The sequence below is a fragment of the Homo sapiens genome, chromosome 1 (assembly GCF_000001405.40).
Source record: "Homo sapiens chromosome 1, GRCh38.p14 Primary Assembly".
In the NCBI taxonomy this organism is placed as follows: Eukaryota; Metazoa; Chordata; class Mammalia; order Primates; family Hominidae; genus Homo; species Homo sapiens.
In genome coordinates this window covers 153,803,088-153,827,617 of record NC_000001.11, presented here as the reverse complement: position 1 = coordinate 153,827,617, position 24,530 = coordinate 153,803,088, and the positions used below count along the sequence as shown (strand labels likewise).

General features: G+C 45.1%; 1 protein-coding gene across 3 annotated transcripts in view; it reads left to right on the top strand.

Annotated features, from left to right (window-relative positions):
• GATAD2B (GATA zinc finger domain containing 2B) overlaps positions 1 to 22,893 on the top strand; it is a 118,248-nt gene extending 95,355 nt beyond the window's left edge. For all 3 annotated transcript variants that reach the window (NM_020699.4, XM_047426115.1, XM_047426117.1), the window contains exons 3-11: positions 7,883 to 8,012; positions 8,696 to 8,827; positions 9,447 to 9,578; positions 10,076 to 10,246; positions 11,030 to 11,345; positions 14,166 to 14,368; positions 15,486 to 15,596; positions 15,770 to 15,887; positions 17,308 to 22,893. In NM_020699.4, coding sequence (NP_065750.1) covers positions 7,883 to 8,012; positions 8,696 to 8,827; positions 9,447 to 9,578; positions 10,076 to 10,246; positions 11,030 to 11,345; positions 14,166 to 14,368; positions 15,486 to 15,596; positions 15,770 to 15,887; positions 17,308 to 17,441 — 1,447 coding nt within the window. In that variant the 3' untranslated portion in view covers positions 17,442 to 22,893. The remainder of the gene's footprint in view (positions 1 to 7,882; positions 8,013 to 8,695; positions 8,828 to 9,446; positions 9,579 to 10,075; positions 10,247 to 11,029; positions 11,346 to 14,165; positions 14,369 to 15,485; positions 15,597 to 15,769; positions 15,888 to 17,307) is intronic.

Genomic DNA, 24,530 nt, shown 5'->3' with positions numbered 1-24,530 from the left:
TTACATCCAAAAACATGGGCCTAGCTTTTCTTGTGTCAGAAAGCAAATTATCTTCATGTGGTAAGTCTCTGCATTCTTGCTGTATCTGTACCACTTCCCCCAGCTCCCCCATATACATATACATTCACTTGTACATGTATGTTACTCTCTCTTTCACTCACACATGCAACATGTTTTCCCAGGCCTTTTTTTCTGGTGTCTTTCAAGGTTGAGTACTTGAAACTGTAGAGCACACAGTAAGGAGAGGTACCTGGAACTGGCCAATGGTTGAGTCTCCCTGTGCAGTGAATCATAGTATAGATAACCCTAGTTGGGGTTTTTTTTTTCTTTTTGTTTTTTATGAGTTTTTTTGGTGCTTTTTTTTTTTTTTTTGAGGCAAGGTCTCGCTCTGTTGCCTAGGCTGGCGTGTAGTGAGTGGCCTGATACCCTGGATTCAAGCGATCTTCCCCCCTCAACCCCAACCCACACCCCACCCCCCTTGAGTAGCTGGGACTACAGGCACATCCCACCATGCCTGTCTAATTTTTGTATTTTTATAGAAACAGGTTTTTGCCATATTACCCAGGCTGGTCTCGAATTCCTGAGCTCAAGTGGTCCTCCCTCCTCAGCCTCCTAAAGTGCCGGATTATGGACATGCACCACAGCATCCAGCCAGTTTTTTTTTTTTTTTTTTTTTTAAGATAGGGTCTCACTTTGTCACACAGTCTTGAGTGCAGTAGCATGATCATAGCTCATTGTAACCACCAACTCCTGGGCTCAAGTTATCTTCGCGCCCTAGCCTCCCAAGTAGCTGGGACTACAGGTGTGCATCATCACACCCAGCTAATTTTTGAATACTTTTGTAGAGACAGAGTCTCACTATGTTGCCCAGGCTGGTCTCAAACTCTCAGCCTCAAGTGATCTTCCCACATTGGCCTCCCAAAGTGCTGGGACTACTGTTGTGAGCCACCACACCCAGCTTATAACCCAAGTTGTGTGTGTGTGTGTGTGATGGAGTTTCACTCTTTTTGCCCAGGCTGAGTGCAATGGTACGATCTAGGCTCACTGCACCCTCCACCTCCTGGGTTCAAGTGATTCTCTTGCCTCTCTACTCCCCTAAGTAGCTGAGATTACAGGCGCGTGCCTGCACACCCAGCTAGTTTTGTATTTTTAGTAGAGATGGGGTTTCACCATGGTAGCCCGGCTGGTCTCGAACTCCTGACCTCAGGTGATCTGCCCACCTCTGCCTCCCAAAGTGCTGGGATTATAGGCATGAGCCATCACACCCAGCCAACCCTAGCTTTTAAAACATTCAGTTTAGGCTGGGTGCGGTGGCTCACGCCTGTAATCCCAGCACTTTGAGAGGCCGAGGCGGGTGGATCATGAGGCGGGTGGATCACGAGGTCAGGAGATCGAGACCATCCTGGCTAACACCGTGAAACCCCGTCTCTACTAAAAATACAAAAAATTTGCCAGGCATGGTGGCAGGTGCCTGTAGTCCCCGCTACTTGGGAGGCTGAGGCAGGAGAATGGTGTGAACCCGGGAGGTGGAGGTTGCAGTGAGCCGCGATTGCTCCACTGCACTCCAGCCTGGGCGACAGAGCGAGACTTCGTCTGAAAAAAAAAAAAAAAGTCAGTTTATAAATAGTTCAGAAACAGCTGATAGCTGTGAGAATTAGTCTTCAGTGTTGAGTTGCCCTCCAAATGACCTTGCTGAGTTTGTTGTAGGACTCATCCAAAGCAGAATCTCTAAGAAGCTGGACTGGTGGAGAATGAAGAAGAAAGAAATGGTTATAACTTTACACATGTTACTTTCTCTACCTTTTGATGTCTACTTACTGGTCTTGTCCCAGGATTATTTTTTAAAACCATGCTCCATAAGCAAACATTATTCTTGGTAGTAACATTAAAAACTCTTAGTAAGCGGTGGCTCACACCTGTAATCCCAGCACTTTGAGGCCGAGGCGGGTGGATCACCTGAGGTCAGGAGTTTGAGACCAGCCTGGCCAACATGGTGAAACCTTGTCTCTACTAAAAATATGAAAAAATTAGCCAGGTGTGGTGGCACACACCTGTGTTCCTAGCTACTTGAGAGGCTGAAGCGTGAGAATTGCTTGAACCCAGATGGTAGAGGTTGCAGTGAGCTGAGATCGTGCCACTGCACTCCAACCTGGGCAACAGAGTGAGACTCTTGTCTCCATTTTAAAAAAAAGCAAAAACAACCACAAAAAAACCTCTTAGGAAACCTCAGGCAGATTCCCTAGAGGTCCTGGAAGAGGAGAAAAATACTTGTAAGTTATAGGTAGTGCCAGCAGAATATTATATAAGTAGGTTCATTTTTAGATTGTTTGCAAGAAAAGGATATGGGTGAATGAGATCATGAACCTGAGCAACCTACTTGGCTTTTATAATCTCTCTTACCCTTCTGGAGCAAGTAACTTATCCCACTTCATTGGGGAGAAAGAGTTAAAGAAATGTTAGGTGGATTCTTCACATTCCAAATTGGAACTTTTAAATGCATTTTTCTTTCCTTTCCTTCTCTTTCCCTTTCCTGACAAGGTCTCACTCTGTTGCCCTGGCTGGAGTGCAGTGTGGCATGATGTCCGTTCACTGCAACCTCCACCTCCCAGGCTCAAGCAATCCTCGCTCCTTAGCCACCCAAGTAGCTGGGACTATAGGCGTGTGCCCCTGTACCCAGCTAATTGTTTTGTATTTTTAGTAGAGACGAGGTTTCGCTGTGTCACCCAGGCTGGTCTCTAACTCCTGGACTCAAGTGATCTGCCCGCCTTTGCCTCCTAAAGTGCTGGGAATACAGGCATGAGCCACCATGCCGGGCCCAACATTTTTCATAGAAACTTTGTTAACACTCTTTTTTTTTTTCCTGTTTTCAGTCCTGCTCCTGTAGACATTTTGATAAGATCTTATTAATGGTATTGGAATTGTATTATATTGCAGATAGATACAGTATATGTTAAAAAGTCAGACTTCCTGAAAACCCAACTTTTTTTTTTTTTTTTTTTTTTTTTAAAGGCAGAGTCTCGCTCTGTTGCCCAGGCTGGAGTAAAGTGGCGCAATCTTGGCTCGCTGCAACCTCCGTCTCCTGGGTTCAAGCGATTCTCCTGCCTCAGCCTCCTGAGTAGCTGGGACTACATGCTGGCTAATTTTTGTATTTTTAGTAGAGATGGGGTTTCGCCATGTTGGCCAGATGGTCTCGATCTGCTGACCTTGTGATTCACCCGCCTTGGCCTCCCAAAGTGCCGGGATTATGGGCGTGAGCCACCACACCTAGCCAAACCCAACAATTTTTTTAAAAATGTTATTTTGGGGTGATTTTTAAAAATCATTTAAAGAGATGAGGTGTTGCTGTGTTGCCCAGGCTGACGTACATTGGCTGTTCACAAGCACTGTCATAGTGCACTATTTCCTCAAATTCCTGGGCTCAAGCAGTCCTCCCCACTTGGCTTCCTGAGTAGCTGGGACTATTAGGCATGGGCCGCTGTACCCAACATGGGGTGATCTTTTGAAACACAATCCTCTGGAAGCTTGGGACTCCAGATATACTGACAGCTATTTCCACTTAGCCCCGAGATGTATAAGAATGAACAAAACTGCTGGGCACAGTGGCTCACGCCTGTAATCCCAGCACTTTGGGAGGCCGAGGCGGGAGGATCATCTGAGGTCAGGAGTTCGAGACCAGCCTGGCCAACATGGTGAAACCCTGTCTCTACTAAAAATACAAAAATTAGCCAGGCGTGGTGGCGGGTGCCTGTAATCCTAGCTACTTGGAAGGCTGAGGCAGGAGAATCGCTTGAACCCAGGAGGTAGAGTTGTAGTGAGCAGAGATTGCACCACTGCACTCCAGCCTGGGTGACAGACCAAGACCTTGTCTCAAAAAAAAAACAAACAAAAAAACAAAAAAAAAAAGCAAAACCGATAGATTCCCAGCAAGGAGAACCATAGTTTCTTTGATAGTGATAAAAAGAGGAAAGGGCTGGGTGCAGTGGTGCATGCCTGTATTCCCAGCACTTTGGGAGGCCAAAGTGGGAGAATTGCTTGAGGGCAAGAATTTGAGCTCTGTCTGGGCAACATAGTGGTACCTCATCTCTACCAAGAAAAAATGAAAGAATTTGAAAGCAGAAGGCAAGAGAAGTTCTTAACATAATAGCCATGTCATAATAGCCTAAATATCTTATTTTGCCATCAGTTGGGCAAGTTACGATACCTGTGAAATAAGGTATGTATGAAACCAACACTACTAATGTTTTAGAATTCTAGAGAGACACAGCAGTTGTCTGCTTAGTTGTTTTTACTACTGGGATAAGGATTAGGAGCTTTATAGCTTCTGAGAATATGCCAGACTAAGTCACAAGTGATGTCACACCAAGTGGGTCTTTTAATAATATCTCTCTAATAGGTAGGAGTTCATACTTAACTACCCCAAATATTGTAAATTATATATATGTTTAGGAAAAGAGCAAAATAATTTCTCTCTTGGAATGTTTAACAAATGAGGCCAGAATCCTAGTTCATTAGTTTTTTAAAATTAAGAAATGAGGCAGGGCATGGTGGCTCACGCCTGTAATCTCAGCACTTTGGGAGGCCAAGGCAGGAGAATCACTTGAGCCTAGAAGTTTAAGACCAGCCTTAGTAACATAAGGAGACCCCTTCTCTACAAAAAATTTAAAAACTAGCTACTCAGGAGGCTGAGGTGGGAGGATCGCTTGGGCCTAGGAGATTGAGACTGCAGTGAGCCACAAATGATTGCACCACTGCACTCCTTCCTGGGTGACAGAGTGAGACCCTGTCTCAAAAAACAAAAGAAAAAATAAATACAAGAAAAGAGGCTGGACGCGGTGGCTCATGCCTGTAATCCCAGCTCTTTGGGAGGCTGAGGCGGGCGGATCACGAGGTCAGGAGTTTGAGACCAGTCTGGCCAACATAGTGAAACCCCGTCTCTAAATACAAAAATTAGCCGGGTGTGGTGGCGGGCACATGTAATCCCAGCAACTCAGGAGGCAGGAGAATCACTTAAACCTGAGAGGAGGTTGCAGTGCGCCGAGATTGCACCATTGCCCTCCAGCCCCGGTGACAGTGCAAGACTCCGACTCAAAAGAAAAACAGAGAGGCTTTGGCTTTGCCTTATCTGTGCTATCTACCTAATACCGGTGTGTTTATATCTGGGAATAAAATAATCATTTAAAGTTGTTCTCAGATATAACTTCCTGATAAATGGCATACAGTTCCCAAATCTCCATCCAGTAATATCTCTGTCTTGGTACTGGGCAGTTCCTAAGCAGTTAAGTGGCACTCATTTGAGCAAGGAAGAATTCCTTACCTTAGAAATAATCTGTAATGTATATATCCAGCCAGGACCAGAATAGAAAGAGCTTCTAAATGAAAAATCTTCCAGATTCCAAAATTACCGGTGTTTTATTTTTTATTTATTTTTAATTTTTTTGAGACAGAGTTTTGCTCTGTCACCCAGGCTGGAGTGTAGTGGTGCAATCTCGGCTCATTGCAACCTCCACCTCCCAGGTTCATGTGATTCTTGTGCTTCAGCCTCCTGAGTAGCTGGGATTACAGGCGTATACTACCATGCCCGGCTAATTTTTGTATTTTTAGTAGAGACAGGGTTTCTCCACGTTGGCCAGGCTGGTCTCAAACTTTTGGCCTCAAGTGATCTGCCCACCCAAAATGACCCATGTTAATCATAGAGGGGGAGTATAAAGGAATATAGAAATGAGAAGTAAATCACGCTTTAAAAATGAATTCAGGCCGGGCACAGTCGCTCATGCCTGTAATCTCAACACTTTGGGAGGCCAAGGCAGGCAGATCACGAGGTCAGGAGTTTGAGACCAGCCTGGCCAAAACGGTGAAACCCCGTCTCTACTAAAAATACAAAAAAAAATTAGCCAGGCGCGGTGCCGGGTACCTGTAATCCCAGCTACTGAGGCTGAGGCAGGAGAATCACTTGAACCCAGGAGACGGAGGTTCCAGTGAGCCGAGATCGCGCCATTGCACTCCAGCCTGGGCGACAGAGCCAGAATCCATCTCAAAAAAAAGAATGCAGACACTTTATTCAGGCCTGTTACTCCTCATATTTGGGGTTAGAGAATGAAAGGCTCTTTTCTCCCTCTAGTGGCTTTTTCTGTATTTCTACCTTCTCAGCTTGCTGTGTCTGTGGCCAGCAATCTAGACAAATTTAATAGTTCACAAGATAGTCATTCTTACCTTTCTATCCTCCTATTCTATTTCCTTACCTAAGTTTGGTTGATTTTAGCAACTCAGATTTACCCTGTTAGGAAATTGCTTATTCCAGTGATCGGGGTTCCCTGTTCAAAAGTATCCATGTCCTGGCTGGGCATGGTGGCTCACACCTGTAATTCCAACACTTTGGGTGGCTGAGGCAGCAGGATCACTTGAACCCAGGAATTCAAGACTAGCCTGGGCAGCATAGCAAGACCCCCACCCCTTACAAAAAAATAAAAAATTAGCCAGGCACAGTGGTGTGCACCTGTAGTCCCAGCTACTCAGGAGGCTGAGGCGGGGGGAATCTCTTGGGGCCAGGAGTTTGAGAATGTAGCAAGCACCACTACACTCCAGCCTGGGCAATAGAGTGAGACCCTGTCTCAAAAAAAAAAAAAAAAAAAAAAAAAAAAAAAAATTCCATGTGCCAACAGCAACTAGGACAAGAAACCCTGAGAAGTGGACAGCTAGCGATCTGTGATCATTAAGGGTTTAAGTTGATTGTTTAAGGCCAAAGGGGAGGCCAAGGCGGGAGGGTCGCTTAAGACCAGCTTGGGCAACATAGTAAGACCCTGTCTCTACAAAAAGTACAAAAATTAGCCGGGCGTAGCGGCACATGCCTGTAGTCCCAGTTACTCAGGAGGCTGAGGTGGGAGGATCGCTTGAGCTCAGGAGGTCAAGGCTGCAGTGAGCTGTGATCGGGCCACTGGACTCCAGCCTGGGTGACAGAGTGAGACCCTGTCTCAAGAGGGAAAAAAAAAAGGACCAAAGAACAATTGCCCTCGACCTATATACTACCAACTACGCTGACAATCTCAAGGAAAGTAGGATCTGGGAATGTATCTTTGAAATTAGAGGAGAATTAGAAGATACAGTCACGGATTTGGGAACCTGAGGCAGTTAGAGTTTCCGGAATTCTTGTTACCTAGGTCTTAAGCAGTATGTGCCATTTTTTATCATCTTACACAAATAAGCATGATGCTTTTAAGGCTAACCCCAGAATGACCTAAATGAGAGTTATCTAGTAAATAGGATTAGGAGTAAGAGGAGTCAGTGCAGGAGATTTAGATTTCAAAGTAATTTCTAGACTCTTTTTGAGGTAAGATGCTGGATAAAACTCTGGTAAGTAGATGCAAGTTCAATATATTTGGTTCTGGAGGTTTAATCCTTTTCTGTAAGGCTGTAGACAATATTCTTGGCACTATTCCCTCAAATTATTAATACTTCCTTCTTTTGTGTACTCTTCAGTACCTACTCTTGACAGGATAGACTATTCTTTTTTTTTTTTTTTTTTGAGACGGGAACCTCGCTCTGTTGCCCAGGCTGGAGTGCAGTGGTGCAATCTTGGCTCACTGCAACCTCTGCCTCCCAGGTTCAAGAGATTCTCCTGCCTCAGCTTCCTGAGTAGCTGGGACTACAGGTGCGCGCCGCCATGCGCAGCTAATTTTTTATTTTTAGTAGAGACGGGGTTTCACCATGTCGGTCAGGCTGGTCTCGAACTCCTGACCCCAGGTGTTCCACCCGCCTCGGTCTCCCAAAGTGCTAGGATTACAGGAGTGAGCCACCGCACCCGGCCCCCCTTGGATTTTTTTAATTCAGCATAGAAGTTTTCTTAACTTTTGTTGGAAATAGCTTATTTTTTCCCTTTCTTGTCTAGTGAGCCAGAGCGAGGAAGGCTAACTCCCTCACCAGACATCATTGTTTTGTCTGACAATGAGGCTTCCAGTCCCCGTTCCAGTTCCAGAATGGAAGAAAGACTCAAAGCAGCCAACTTAGAGATGTTTAAGGTAAAAAGAAAGAAAAATTTCTTTCTTCTTGTTATGCTCCTTCTATTTTATTTAATTCCTCAAGAGATTTAGTTCTGTTTTTTGACTATTTACTCTTTGGATATAAATACCCATTGATGAAAACTTTATAGTAACTCTTGACTTCAAGGGCTTTCAAAAGGAACTATTAGAAGCAAGTGGAGACGACAGTTTGAAAAGCATATATGTAGGCCATTATACTCAGTGTTATTTATCTTTGGAAAATGAAAACAAAAGTTCATAATTAAGTCATATAAAGTAAACTCTTGGCTGTAAGGATACTTTCTGCACTCTAACCTAAGTAACTGAATATGAAGGGATTCCTAAGTTTTTATGTATATCTAGAGGAAATGTGGCTTTAAGAGATTTAGGAACATTATTTTAAAAGAAGACAATGTTTCTCTTTAGTCATTCTTCTTTTTGCCAGGAATCTGGCTGATTAGCATTTATACGTGGTCTGTCCTTTAATTCTGTAAGCATTTCTTTGAGTACCTACTGAATGCCAGGCACTGTGCCAGACTCCAGTGATACAAAGATAATCCTATTGCCACTTCTGCTTCTTGTGGAAGATGAAGGTTTCAGAGCTAAGAAGTAAAGATTGTCTCTTGCAGGAAGGAATTCTGGGTACCTTGCTGCCATAGCTGAAAGTCTTCTTGTTTCCTTAGGGGAAAGGCATTGAGGAGCGGCAGCAGCTTATCAAGCAGCTGAGGGATGAGCTACGATTGGAAGAAGCCCGACTGGTCCTGTTAAAGAAACTGAGACAGAGTCAGCTACAGAAAGAGAATGTGGTCCAGAAGGTAATGTGCCCTAGAAATAAGGGACTAAGGGAAAGGAAAGAAAAACTGGTTTGAGAGTAGGTTCCCCCAGGTAGGTTCAGTTGGGTGGCTCATTTCTTCTCTGGGTCCGTAGTTTTTTAGTCTGTAGTAGTAGTGATTTTTTTTTTAATCTTAGGCCTTAAGAAAACCTTGACTCCCAGCCAGGTGCGGTGGCTCACGCCTGTAACTCCAGCACTTTGGGAGGCCGAGGCGGGTGGATCACGAGGTCAGGAGATCGAGAGCATCCTGGCTAACATGGTGAAACCCCATCTCTACTAAAAATACAAAAAATTAGCCGGTCATGGTGGCGGGCGCCTGTAGTCCCAGCTACTCGGGAGGCTGAGGCAGGAGAATGGCGTGAACCCGGGAGGTGGAGCTTGCAGTGAGCCGAGATCAGGCCACTGCACTCCAGCCTGGGCGACAGAGCAAGACTCTGTCTCAAAAAAAAAAAAAAAAAAGAAAACCTTGACTCCCTTTTTCTGGTTTTTCCTCCTGATTGACAAGAACCTCACACTGACCAGGAATTTTTAAAGTCTAGAAATGTACCAAATTTCCACCTGTGATTATTGGCCACAGTCTTATTTTCTCTTCCCTCTCCCAGACTCCAGTTGTACAGAATGCAGCATCTATTGTTCAGCCATCTCCTGCCCATGTGGGACAGCAGGGCCTATCTAAGCTTCCCTCTCGGCCTGGGGCCCAAGGGGTTGAACCTCAAAATTTGAGAACATTACAGGTATGTGACCCATAGTGGGATCTTAGTGTTGGAGGGCCGTGTCTAATCCTGTCTCTGTTTTTGGGCTTTTGTGAAGATTATAGAAGAACCTGGCCATGATAGAGGTGTTATTACTACTGATTGTTCTGTTGGCCCATTATGGCATGATTTAGTCTTCAGTAGAAGGATGAGTAACTTTCATGTTTCCACTGTAGTTTTTCTTGTCTAGAGAATGCTTCCAGCTTCTCTAGAGAAGGGGTAGATAGTTTTCTATCTAACCCTATAGGATTAGATAGTTTATACCAAAAAAAGCCAAGGACTTCCCAGCCACTAATCAGGGTTTACAATGATGGTAGATTTATCCCATAGACCATTAAATGAAATTACCAAGTCTGGCTGTGTTCCTGTGTTTCTACTTAGCTATGTATTATAGGCAGTGTTTTCCCTTTTGCATTTTGTGCTGTATTATACACAGCGTACAACCTGTGATTAGTTCTTTTCCTCTTCTTCCCCTCCAGGGTCACAGTGTCATCCGTTCAGCTACCAATACCACCCTTCCACACATGTTGATGTCTCAACGTGTTATTGCACCAAACCCAGCCCAGCTACAGGGTCAGCGGGGCCCGCCTAAGCCTGGCCTTGTACGCACCACAACACCCAACATGAATCCCGCCATCAATTATCAACCGGTAAGAGAGAGCTGAGCCCTAATGTGGAAACAGAGAAATCCCTTTGTTTGCTTTGCTTGTCGAAAGGGCCATAGGTTTTAAGTTTTTATACATAGATAAACTCTAGGACAAAAATGGTTATTTTGGTAGGGATTTAATTGAGAGCAGTCCCAAAAGTAGAAGCTTTGAGGAATTATATTAAAATAGTAGTGGAGGAGAGAGGTTATACAGCAGAGCAGCAGTAAGCTAAAAATCTGCCTAGAAGAGAGTGATCTAGGGAATAAGAAGCACAAGGATGTGTGACAGAAAGCAAAATCTTATTTCTGTCTCTTTTTTGTTTGTTTGTTTGTTTGTTTTTTGAGCTGGAATCTCACTGTGTTGCCCAGGCTAGAGTGCAGTGGCATGATCTTGGCTCACTGCAACCTCTGCCTCCTGGGTTCAAGGAATTTCCAGCTAATTTTGTGTATTTTTCGTAGAGACAGAGTTTGACCATGTTGGCCAGGCTGGTCTCAAACTCCTCACCTCAAGTGATCTGCCTACCTCGGCCTCCCAAAGTGCTGAGATTATAGGCGTGAGCCACCACGCGTGGCCTTTATTTCTCTCTTAGCAATGTTAGCTCATGGTCATCATCATTCTCCTTTCCTATGTGTCAGAGTTCTTTTTCAATAAATAAGTTGACCACCTCCTATTTTTGGAGAAGCTAAGTAGTCCAAACCAGGATCAGACAGTGTCCTCTGCCAAGAACGTAAGAATTGGCCCTTTCTCCTGCATACCATGATTGACCGCATTCTCAATCTATTTCAGCAGTCAAGTTCTTCTGTTCCATGTCAGCGTACAACATCCTCTGCCATCTATATGAACCTTGCTTCTCATATCCAGCCAGGGACGGTGAACAGAGTGTCCTCGCCACTTCCTAGCCCCAGCGCCATGACTGATGCTGCCAACTCACAGGCTGCAGCCAAATTGGCTCTTCGCAAACAGCTGGAAAAGACACTCCTGGAGATCCCACCCCCTAAACCTCCTGCTCCCTTACTTCATTTCTTGCCTAGTGCAGCCAATAGCGAGTTCATCTACATGGTAGGCTTGGAAGAAGTCGTACAGAGTGTCATTGACAGCCAAGGTAAGGCTGTTTCTTCTAATCAATCTATTTAAGCAAGTGGTTGCCAAGCCTGATTGACATAGGCAGAGTATCAGAGGGTACTGTACAATATTAAATAACTTCTCCTTCCTGTTACCAAACCACCTCCCTCCCTTCTTTACAGCTGTTTGGGAGCAACATGTTAGAAGCGGAGTGTGTGTGTGTGTGTGTGTGTGTGTGTGTGTGTGTGTGTGTTTTGTTTGAGATGCAGTCTCGCTCTGTTGCCCAGGCTGGAGTGCAGTGGCACAATCTCAGTTCACTGCAACCTCTGCCTCCTGAGTTCAAGCAATTCTCCTGCCTCAGCCTCCCACGTAGCTGGGACTACAGGCACGTGGCACCACACCCGGTTAATTTTTGTATTTTTAGTAGAGACGGGGTTTCATCATGTTGGCCAGGCTGGTCTCGAACTCCTGACATCAGGTGATCTGCCCACCTCGGCTTCCTAAAGTGCTAGGATTACAGGCATGAGCCACTGTACCCCGTCAGCCGGCCGGGGCCAGCCTGCCTATGTATCTATCTATCTATCTAATCTATCATCTATCTAATCTATCTATTCTATTCTATCTAATCTATCATCTATCTTTCGGCTTGTTTTTTTTTCCCTTCAGCAGGTCAGCTATCATTGAGGCTTGATATTTTTATTTGGATTTTATCTATCTTGTGTGTTTTTTGTAGGACAGTAAGTTCTCACTTAACATCATCAATAGTTTCTTAGAAACTGTGACTTTAAGTGAAACAACTACGGTGAAGGGGGTCCTCAAATAACATCATTTTATTATAACATTAGTAAAAAAAAAAAGATTGTTTTTGTTGTATGTTGTTTCACTTAAATCATAGTCTCTGAGAACCTGTCAACAACATTGAGGACTGACTGTATTTTGTTTAGTTCTTTTAAATGGTGGCTAGCATGATGCTTGCATAATTTGATAAATAGAACTTCTCTTTTCTTTTTTTTTTTTTTGTTTTTTTTTTTTGTTTTTTTGAGACAGGGTCTGACCCTGTTGTCCAGGCTTGAGTGCAGTGGTGTGATCTCAGCTCTCTGCAGCCTTGACCTCCCAGGCTCAAGCCATCCTCCCATTTCAGCCTCCTGAGTAACTGGGACCACTGGTATGCACCACCATGCCAGTTTTTTTCTTTGTTGGTTTTTTTTTTTTTTTTTTTTTTTTTTTTTTTGAGACAGAGTCTTACTCTGTCACCCAGGCTGGAGTACAGTGGCATGATCTTAGCTGGCTGACTACCTCTGCCTCTTGGTTTCAAGCAATTCTTTTTTTTTTTTTGAGATGGAATCTTGCTCTGTTGCCCAGGCTAGAGAGTGCAATGGCATGATCTCAGCTCACTGCAACCTCCACCTCCTGGGTTCAAGCAATATTCCTGCCTCAGCCTCCTGAGTAGCTGGGATTACAGGTGCCTGCCACCACACCTGGCCAATTTTTGTGTTTTTCTTAGAGACGGGGTTTCACAATGTTGGTCAGGCTGGTCTCGAACTCCTGACCTCAGGTGATCCACCTGCCTCGGCTTCCCAAAGTGCTGTGGTTACAGGCATGAGCCACTGTGCCCGGCGCAAGCAATTCTTTTGTCTCAGCTTCCAAAGTAGCTGGAATTACAGATGTGTGCCATCACACCTAGCTAATTATTTCTGTTTTTAGTAGAGATAGGGTTTTGCTATGTGGGCCAGGCTGGTCTCAAACTCCTGGCCTCAAGTGATCTGCCTGCCTCAGCCTCCCAAAGTGTTGGGATCACAGGTGTGAGCCACCATGCCTGGCCTGGAACTTCTGTTTTTAATGTGAGTGTTTTTGCAACATTGTACTGAATTACTGTGTTTAGTCTTCTGTGAATGCTTACAGTTGAGAAACACACACTTACATAGATAACTAAGAAAGACCTTATAAAAAGCTGTAAACCAATACTAAACCATACTATAGAGTATTAACAACATACAGTCTAGACTAACTGAAGTTATTAAACTTGAATTTCTAAACAGGTAGACTTCTGGGAAAGCCTGCCAGTAAAGTGCCCAGAGGAGTCAGTATTAGCTATAAATAGATCACAAAGTGAATAATTCAGACACTGATAACTATTTAAAACTATAAATGTATATGACAGGGATAAGTACAGTCTTTGGTAAGGAGATATTAAGAAGCAAAAGTATTGGTTGAGTTAGAGTCCTTTGACTTTGAATTGACACAGTATTTTCTTCTCAGTGTGATACAGTAGAAAATCAGGAAACATCCCAGCTTTATCAGTTAGAAGCTACCTTTGTTGTTGTTGTTGTTGTTTGAGACTGAGTCTTGTTCTGTTACCCAGGCTGGAGTGCACTGGCACAATTTCGGCTCACTGCAACCTCTACTTCCCAGGTTCAAGCGATTCTCCTGCCTCAGCCTCCTGAGTAGCTGGGATTACAGGCGCGTGCCACCACGCCCGCCTAATTTTTTTGTATTTTTAGTAAAGACGGGTTTTCACTATGTTGGTCAGGCTGTTCTTGAACTCCTGACCTCGTTAGCCGTCCACCTCAGCCTCCCAAAGTGCTGGGACTGTAGGGGTGAGCCACCGCACCCAGCCAGAAGCTACATTTCTTCGACTTCTGTCCTCATTTGTAAATGAGGATGGTACTGTCTGAATTCCCTAAAGTGATACTGTTATAATCAGATGAAATAAAAGTATTTTGTAAATTATAGAATATCCTTTTTGTAAAGTCTCTTTCTTTAATTCAACAGAATAAACTCCTGGAAAAGATCTATTTGATTAAGAGAAACAGAGGAGATAGGAAATGTAAAGCCACTGACTATTTTTGTTGGTATCTAGGCAAAAGCTGTGCCTCACTTCTGCGGGTTGAACCCTTTGTATGTGCCCAGTGCCGCACAGATTTCACCCCTCACTGGAAGCAAGAAAAGAATGGTAAGATTCTATGTGAGCAGTGTATGACCTCCAACCAGAAAAAGGCTCTAAAAGCTGAACACACCAACCGGCTGAAAAATGCATTTGTGAAAGCCCTACAGCAGGAACAGGTAAGAATTCTGACTGCTCACTGGCCACCTGTCCCAGTTTGTTTTTTCCAAAGGGTCGCGCCTTCTAGTTTGCAGGAGTGGTTCATGTGATCCCTACAGGTCCACAGGTTCCCTTTTTGTCTCCTTATCATTGTGTCCTATTTCCATTTGAGCGAGTATTCTGATTAAGAACATGGTAAAATATAATGGCTGAGGTTAACAGAAAGGGACAGAAAGCTTGGGACTCTTGGCTTTTCCATAGCACTCTATTCTCATCTTCATTTTTTCCTAAAACAAATAATAGATTTTGGTGGGAGGAATTTATATTTGTGCTATAAATCTCTTTGAAACAGTTATTTGCAGTGCGTGTTTGATAAGAAATGACGAAAGAAAGAGTGAATTATGAAGTAGCCCAGTGAAGAGTAGTGGTTCTAGAGTATGTGAACATCTCATGTAGCAGTTATAGGATGAGAATATCTTAGAGAAGGAAAAATGTGTTGGGAAACTCAGATCCTTTTCTTCCTATTTCCCACTCCACCCATCAGAGTCCCTTGTTTGAGTAGCATCATGGACTTTTTGGAAGATCGGGTAGGCAGGAGTCAAAAATAAAACCCCATTTATGCTCTAGGACTGGTGGTAAAAAATAAATAAATAAAAATTTTTAAAAAGAGAAAAGAAAAAGTGATAAAATAAAACCCCAGTAATTCATCAGCCTTAATTATATCAGTTGGTTCATCACCTCCAGCCAACTTCTTAGAGCCAGCTTTCCTGGAGAAAGAGAGGAGGATCCCTTGATCATTGAAGCAAGTTAGCTGCTTATACCCAGAAATCTCAGTGTACCACCCCCACCAAACTCTTTTGCCTTTTCCATATTCCACCAACTAGCCAACAACATTAGAGGTAAGAACACCTCCAGGTTTTCTGGTTAGGAAATTGGGTGGGCCAGGTGCAGTGATTCATGCCTGTAATCCCAGCACTTTGGGGAGGCTAAGGTGAGAGGATTGCTTGAGCCCAGGAGTGCCAGACCAGCCTGGGCAACAAAGTCAGATTGTGTCTCTGTTTAAAAAAAAAAAAAAAAAAGGAAATTGGGTATTGGGTGCTGTCCTGCTCAATCACCTGATGTGATGACTCCCAACAGGAAATTGAACAGCGATTACAGCAGCAGGCAGCCCTCTCCCCCACTACGGCTCCAGCTGTGTCCAGTGTCAGTAAACAAGAGACCATCATGAGACATCATACGCTTCGGCAGGTAAGGAACTTTTTGCCTGATCCTGATTTCTTTAGAAGATTTATCAGCCATTTATCACAATTTGTCCTTTCTATTGTGGGAAATCATAGTCTTCTTCTGTACTCCCTTATCTTTGCCCCCGCTTAACATTCTATCATATCAAAGTTGTATCCACTGTCTCCTCATCATTGCAGGCTCCACAGCCCCAGAGCAGCCTCCAGCGTGGCATACCCACATCTGCCCGCTCCATGCTTTCAAACTTTGCACAGGCACCCCAGTTGTCTGTGCCAGGTGGCCTCCTTGGTATGCCAGGTAAGAAGGATTAATCTGAAAATGTTTCTCATGGGTCAGCTGTTAGTTAGTATACAGTTCTGTAGCAGCCCCTTTAAGGGAATTGTTCCTTTACTTTCTGTTCTTTCTTTAGGGCATACACTCTCACTCTTCTGTTACTCAGCAAATGTTTGCTAAATTCATATTAAGTGCCACCCACAATGCACTAGGGTTTTGGTGGTGAAAATGACCCAGATCCTACCATTATCAATTTAACTTTTAATATCCCTTCAGTAGACATGTGGTTATTGATCTCTTTTGGCCGGGACAGCAGGGTTAACTGTTCTGTTTGAATGATCCAGGGATGCTTCTGCACAATCTGCAGCCTCAAAATCAAAGCTGATTTAATGATTCTATCTCTCTGTCTTATTCATCTTCCTCTCACCACTGTTTCACTTGTCTCTCCCATACCATCAGAAGCATGTTCATTATTCTTGGTAGGACCGAAATTTCAGGAAGTCCCCTTTTCCTAAAGCTTAGGAATATGAGTGGGGATTGAAATAAAGTTGCTGTGCAGGGCGCGGTGGCTCACACCTGTAATCCCAGCACTTTGAGAGGCCGAGGCAGGCGAATCACTTGAGATCAGGAGTTCAAGACCAGGCTGACCAACATGGTGAAACCCTGTCTCTACTAAAAATACAAAAAATTGGCTGGGCGTGGTGGCTCATGCCTATAATCCCAGCACTTTGGGAGGCCAAAGCGAGTGGATTACCTGAGGTCAGGAGTTCAAGACCACCCTGGCCAACATGATGAAACCCCATCTCTACTGAAAATACAAAAAATTAGCCCGGCGTGGTGGCTGGTGCCTGTAATCCCAGCTACTCGGGAGGCTGAGGCAGGAGAATCGCTTGAACTTGGGAGGTGGGGCTTGCAGTGAGCTGAGATTGTGCCACTGCACCTCCAGCCTGGGCAACGAGCGAAATTCTGTCTCAGATAAATAAGCAAACAAAATTAATTGGCTGGGTGCAGTGGGTCATGCCTGTAATCCCAGCACTTTGGGAGGCTGAGGCCGTTGGATCATTTGAGGTCAGGAGTTCAAGACTAGCCTGGCCAACATGGTGAAACCCCATCTCTACTAAAAATACAAAAAATAGCCGGGCAGTAGTGGCACGCGCCTATAATTCCAGCTACTCTGGAGGCTGAGGCAGGAGAATTGCTTGAGTCTGGGAGGCAGAGGTGAGCGGAGATCACACCACTGCACTCCAGCCTGGGTGACAGAATGAGACTGCATCTCAAAAAAGAAAAAGAAAGTTGCTGTTGAAATAAAGCTAACCAAGTGTGACCAGATACTGGTAAATTCTGCTTCCTTTCCATCTCCAACTCTGCAGCCCGAGGGTAGAGTGGAAGGGAATGTTATTTCCTCTTTTAATACCTGCCCTCCACTTTTGTCTCCTGGGTCCAGGTGTCAACATTGCATACTTGAATACTGGCATCGGAGGACACAAAGGCCCCAGTTTGGCAGACCGACAGCGTGAATACCTTTTAGACATGATCCCTCCCCGGTCTATATCGCAGTCCATCAGTGGACAGAAATAACGCCTGTTCCACTTGTACTGCCCCATCCTTGAATCCTTTATCCCTTTCCTCTTTCATTCCCCCAACTTCTGTCGCATGCAGTGCCTGTACTGGTGCCTACCATACACGGAAAGCAAAACAGAAAAACAGAAGACAAAAAATAGAGATCAGCAAGAAAACACACGCCCTGCCCTGCCACCTCCCCTTTATTTCACACTGCTGCGATCTGTTCTTCTGCCGCTCTGTCTTCTCTCTTCAGTTTTCTTTAACAGTGAGGTGGATCTTTACCTCTGATAGAGGTCAGAATGAGGTCCTGGGGAGAATCTAAGCCCTCCGATGTGTGTTTCTAAAGTTGTTTTATGCTATAATTATTACCATTTTTAATGATGTTGTGTGTCCTCCCTTTGTTCAGTGGACGGTTAAACCTTCCCCCACTCAACCAATCTTTTTCTTTTTCCTTTTCTTCCTTTTTTTTTTTTTTTTTTGTAAACACAAATGACATTCAGTTCAATGATACGAGCATTGCAGATTGCAGTAGGGGTCCCAGCTGCCAAGTAGGACATGACTAGGAGTGTTAGGGGCAGAAGTTTTGAATGCACTTAACCGGAGGAGGGCGCAGGGTGGGGGGTATCAAAGAAGGACGAATAGCACCCTACCTGTGGGTGTTTGGGGGCTGGACAATTTGGGTGGCAGTGTTTGGTACTGAAGTTGGGCTCTAAGAATGAGGGGAAAGAGCCTGGGGAGGAGCTTAAAACTCAACCACTCTGGAATTTACCCATAGAAGACGGGAAGAAAGAGGTATGAAGATGGGCTCAATTATGAGCCAGGGAGGATTGAAACTAGGTCCTGCCTTTCTGTATCTTGGGGAAATAAGACCGATCTCCTGACCCCATTGGGAACACGGAAGTCTATTCCAGGCCAACCAGCCCAAAATTATTTCATCTTGTATTCTTTGTAAAATTCTCCCTCACCCCACCCTGCTTTTAAAAATTCTAATCTATCCCCTCTAACCATAGCCCCATCTATAATACAGAGGAACGGCTGTTCCAAGGCTGTTTGCTGGGTGTCCCACAAGTTGGGTGGACATAAATGAGTCAAGTGACAACAGGAGGAAATAGACTTAGACGAAAGAAAGGATTTCTCTTCCAACAGTTGAGATTCGCATATTTGCCTATTCTTTCACCCTCTGAGTGCCAGGAGATGAGAGGCTGGGGGTACACAATCAGGTTGGAGTCCTGTCCTTACTCTGCTGCACCAGCTGCAGAACCAACTGCTCAAAGCCAAACAGCTCATGGCAAAACCAGCTTAGGACCTCTGCTGTACAAATAGTTGCTTCCCACTGCCCCCCGCCCGCCCCCAGAATGATATTAATTTTGCCTTTTTTTTTTTTTTTTTTTTAAGCGCTACTAATGTAGAGAATGAATTGAATTGTGCAATGTTGCTGTTCTGGGGACTGGGGAGATTAGCATCCCATTTGCCCACACTGTGGGAAGACGGAGTGGACCAGGCTGTTTTTGAAGTAAGGGAAGCCCCTTAAAGGTACGGGTTTCTGCTCTTCTCATAGTGTACACCCACCTGCCTCTCTGGCTCCAGAAGCTGCCAGAGTGCACTGGGGGGAATGTTCTCAGCAGAGAAGAATGAGGAGAAGTTTAATATTTTGCCCTTGAAAGTCACCTGAGGAAGTTTCCCCACTTTTATTTTTTAAAATTAAGTAATTTTTTAAAGAAGGCACTTTTAAAATTAACACACACATGAACTGCACACCTTCCCCATAAAATTTGGAGGTGGGGTGGGAGAAAGAGCTAAAATCAGGCTCAGTTCCCCTACTCTGGCCTCTACTCCCCACACCCCAGTGCCACTGTGGGTGACTATACTGGCCCTACGGGCCTTCCTGGCTTTTTTCTTTCCTCCCTTACCCCAAATTCATTGAGCACTTAAAGGAGCAGAGATGCAGCCAGTGTCTGGGCTCCCCCAGTGGTGAAATGATCTGGAAGCTAGATGCTAGTAACAGGTAGTGATTGGGTTTTTTGAGTATTTTTCCGGGGAATGTGGTACCCCTGACTGTAAGTGGTGGGAGAGGGAGGGGGGTTAATGGAACTGGGTCTGGGATTATTTTAAAATTATATATATATATATAAAGATATATTCTTACATCTTTTCTTTGCCCTCTGTGCTTTGAAAGCACTGGATAAATTGTTTGGTTTTGCTTTTCTCTCTTCCACAAAATTGGAAGCTTTTTTTAAAAATGTTTTCCCCACAAGTCATCTTGCCTTGTGGCATGTCTGTCTAGCCTCTTCCTCCCTCCCTCATGATGAAGTGCCATTTCTGTTACGTCTCCCTCTCCCCAAGCTCAGAGGTGCTCAGAGGTACGAGATGCCCAAGTTTGTCAGTTGAGATTAAAAGTAAGGAACAGAGAATGTGCAATACCGTCTGGCTGGGGGCTGTCCCTGCCCTGCCCTGAGCTGAGTCCTTTCCCTGGGAGCCAGGCCACCTTAGAATGGGGTTTGGAAGTAAGATGTATAGAGTTGGGGAATCATGGAGAAGGAAAGCCTATAGTCGAGTGCCTGCTTAGGTGCTGAGGTCACAGGGGAGATGGTGGAATCTTCCCTGTTTTTATCCCCTCAGGGTCAGTTACATAGAAGCTGCTTCTTGACTAGTATAGCTCGGTGACCCTTTGTTCAACCGCTGAGGTTTGATTTCTTACCCTTTCTTCTCCCCATTTTCATACTCTTCCCAGGGATTAGTGATGGAGGTGAGGTCTCCCTAATCATGGTAAAGTGTTAACCTTCCACCTCCTCCCTTCCCTCCTCCTTCCTCATCCTTCTGTCTTCCTCAATTCTCCGTCTCTTTTTTTTCATCACTGATTGCCTTGTGTCCCTCCAAGTCTACTTGTTACTATCCATCTCCAGGCTCTGGGCCGTGTAGACACTAAACCTCATGCCCTAAGGACAGGAGGAAAGACCCTCTGTTTGGAGCATTATTAGTAGAGTGAGGATCCCACCAGTTCTGCCTGGCTTCCTCCATCCCCAGAGGCACTAAAAGCAGTATTTTAAGGTTGGTGTCTTACTCCCTGGAAGCCTGAAATGGGTGGAATAGCGGTAAGGCTTGAGTAAAACTAGGGGACAGAGGTTCTTATTTGTCGATTTTATTTTATAATTTGACCACAGCATCTGAACTCCCTCTCTCCCTGGAATAAGTATTTTTCCCACATTTTTGGATATATGTATGGTAGACAATTTTTTTTTAAGACACAGAGATAAATGTTTTCCTGCTTTGGTTACCTTTCCTTTCCCCTTTAAAAGGAATTAGCTATAGAACTGCTTTGTAAAGATGCTTCTTGATATTTTACTTTTGTTCCTTTTCCCTAATCATTCCCTTTTCTCCCCACTCCTCCAGAAGGCATAACCCTTCTCTCCACACCCCCTACCCCCACCCCCGTCCTAGGCTCCCATCCTTTCCATCAAGACCTTCATTAGCTTATGATATTTGCTGCCGAGATGTTATAACAAGGACTCGTTCATGTATATAAGCTATTTCTTGATCCATTTAAAAGGAATTGTACATTGTGTAGAAAAAAAAAAAAACCTGAAAAAGAGAAAAAAAAGCCCTAGCCATGGATATTGTGAAACTGTGTTATGTCATTTTGTAATGTGCCCGTTTGTGTATGATCCGTGCAAAAGGGTTTCTGGGGAAGGGGAGGGGGTAGGGAGGCAGGGCTGTGGAGGGTGGGTAGGGGAGTGGGCCGGGCCCAGCACACTGAGACTGGCAGCTGCTCCAACCCCATCCCTCCTTAGAGATGCCACCTCCCCCACCACCCACCCCTAATTTGTGCCTTGCCTCCCCACCCTGGAGTAGTCCCTCCGGGTCACCAGCACTGCCTTGGCAGAGCCCACTCCCTACCCTAACCTGCCCACCCTCCCTATCCCCCAGCATTAGGTTGATACTGTGGGGAAGTGCTGGGGGCTGGGAGGTAGCCGAGGAATGGGGCAGTTCCCGGGGGCATCGAAACCAAGTATTATTATGAATTGTAATTGTATTTGCACTGTTTTTTTCCTCTGATTGCATCAGCATATATACAATATACCTATATAACAAAATTCAGTGTCAAGCTTTCTTATGCAAGGGATTTCCCCCACCCCACCTCCTCAAAAAAGAAAGAACCTAGTCTTATGGGCCTTTGAGGGTGGATTGTCAGGGGATGATAGAAAGGATTTTAATAAGTCATCCTGAGGAAATTTCACCTAGTGAGAGCCACATCCATCTGCACAGCCTTAGGCTGCGTGAACCGAGGTGAGGCTGAGCTCCTGTGAAAGCCAAGACCTCCTGGTCCAGGACTTTGTAGAGTAAAAAGAACCACCAACACAAAAGGGGTTGAGGGGGCTACAATCTGGAGACCTGGGGTCTCCTACTAACTTGCTATATGATCTTTGGTAGAGTTAATTTTCTGAGTATCAATTTTCTTATCTGTGAAGTGAAGAGGGGGATCATCTGGCCACCAAGTTTAAAATTCTATACTTCTCACCTGCCAAAACCAAAAAACAACTTGAGGTGAGGAAAGTGTTGGGCCCAGAAACCAGGGAGGAACTGAAAGTGACTCGCGTTGAAGTGGTTATGTGTATGACAATGCTCTTGGAGAACTGCCAGTCCTCTATGGTTACCCTTGATTTGGGAGAGGCAGCAGAGTCATGTCCAGGGCATCAGACCAGTGACATCTTTGCCTTTATGCCTCTAGTCATCTGAGGGCGGGGACTAGGCCTCAAGCCCCATCTCACAGCCAACCACAGAGCCCTTAAGGGTGGTTGACAATTGAATGCCCCAGGTTGGTGCTTTAGTTATTTACTCCCTTTGTGAGCTACAGGATGTGTAACTTTTCCCCCATCTTGGTGATAAAATAGGAGAGCGCAGACACAGCCCACATTTTGTCTCCTTTCCTCAGATTTCATCTGAACCCCGCTAAAGGCAGCTGTTTCACAGTCTGTCTCCTTCAGGGGCCCAATTTCCCCACAGCCTGGGCTGAGTACTCCTACTCTCTTCTTTAGGTTCTGGGCTGATAAAGCCTGGAGAGGGTACAGGGTGATGGGTGAAGCCCTGGTGAAGGTGAAAGGATAGATTGGGGTTGGGGGGTGGGGAGCAGGGAGGTGGGATGGGGAATGGCCTTCCCTGAATAGGGTGGGTGGGAGGGGAACAAGACCCTTTTGCACAACTCTCTTTAAGTTTCCTTTATTTCTTTTTTAACTCATTCTGATTTTCTGCATTGTGTTTGGGAAATAAAATGAAAAAACTAAGACCAATAGAAACTGGTTTTCAAAAAGGCAAATACACTCCCATCTGTTTCAGATGCTGCTGAGCATTTCAGCAGTGACAGATTCAAATAATAAGCTAATTTTTGGAGAAAGGATTAAAAGAAAAAAAAACTTTGTAATATTTATCACTTGCAAGCTATGTTTAATAAAGAAAGGAATGGTTTCTAAAACTTTCCTGTGGCTTGTGCTTTAGTTATGGGGCTGGGGGTGGCAGTTTGGCGGGAGAATTTTCAGGGTAATTGGGAGATGAGCTATGGCTGTCTTCCCTAGTCAGTCCAGCCACGGACTGAGTACCTTTGGTTTGTATCCTTCTCTTTGATTGTGATGATTGTTTAAAGCCCTGACCTACTTCTGTGTTCTTGTTCCCCTCCAGCTCTAGCTGGAGCCAGTATTCTGGAAGCCACCAACCCCACTTTAGTTATCTGATGACTTTAGGTCTAATGGTATCATGGGGAGGGGGCTGGGTCTCCATTCTCTCCTAGGGAAAGGTGTCCCCTAGCAGTGCTTGGCCCTTCCCACCACACTGCTCTGGTCTCTAGTGACAGAATCCTTTAGCCAGGCACAGTGCTGCATGCCTATAGCTACTCAGGAGGCTAAGGTGGGAGGATCACTTGAGCCAGGAGATCAGCCTGGGCAATGTAGTGAGACCCCATCTCTATAAAAGAAAATAAATAATCTTTTGTAACATGCTTGTTCCTCTAGACGGTTGCCTTATTTACCAGCAGGGGTTCACATTGCTGTTTTCTAGTAAACTACCGAATATAGTTCTTTAACAATCTGAATGCAGCATCCCCTGAAAGATCTGGAACTACACTTTCTCACCATCTCATCACTCCCCTCCCCCAAGTTTTCCTTTCAGCCCAAAGCATTAACCAGATCCTAATTTATTTTTTCCGTTTTGGTTATTTATTTCCAACAAAGCAGTTAGACCAGGCCCAACCAGAGAAGAGGATGTCATTTCCTCAAGGACTTGATGTTTGGGGCTATTCTTAGCCCTCTTGCTCCTCAGCCACGTTTTTTAGTTACAGCTGCTGCTGTGCCTTGTGCAGAGGGCACTATTGTGGAGGGCCAGAGCCCAGCCTTTCTGGAGTCTTGTCATTGGTACTAGCATTACTCTATAAGAGCACAGGAGACAGTTTTGGGGTCCTCTAAGCCATGGGCTTTCCTTCCCCCAAGACCCTTCCCTTTTTGGCACAATACTGGGCAGCCTTGGAGAGAGAGTGATTGAGGAAGTGGCTGGGGCTTTGGCTTTAGAGCATGGCAGAGCTGGATAAGGAGGGACTGTGGTGCTCTGGATGCCAATAGGCTGGTAGAGGGAGAAGTGGGAAAGAGGTGCTCTTCAGACCCCAAGAGTTGAGGGAGGGGAGATGGGGAGTGCTCCCCAGCCTCTGTGCTCATTCTACAGGCGATTCAAGACTGCCAAAACCCTGACTCAAACTAATCTCTTTCAAAAATAAAAATCAAATGGGTAAGGAGGACCCCCTGCGGAGGAGCCAGTGCTTTGGATCTGGGAAGGGGGAAATGGGTATTTGGTTGCTCAGAGAAGCTCATATGAGCTCAGATATTTAAGAGTCATGTTGTAGGGAGAAGGGGGGCAAGAAACTCTGCACCCCCTTTGCCCACCTGCTCACTCGGACCACAAGGAATGCAGGTCGCCTGTCCCTGGGCAGAGCTCAGCTTGGGCACGAGGAGACAGAGACAGATTTTAGACTGGAGGGCTTCAGGTTGTGAGATGGAGGTGATGACAGAGCCTCTTCCCCTGCCGCCATTTTGTGGGGAACCCTTAAAGCTAGGTGTCTTTGGGCAG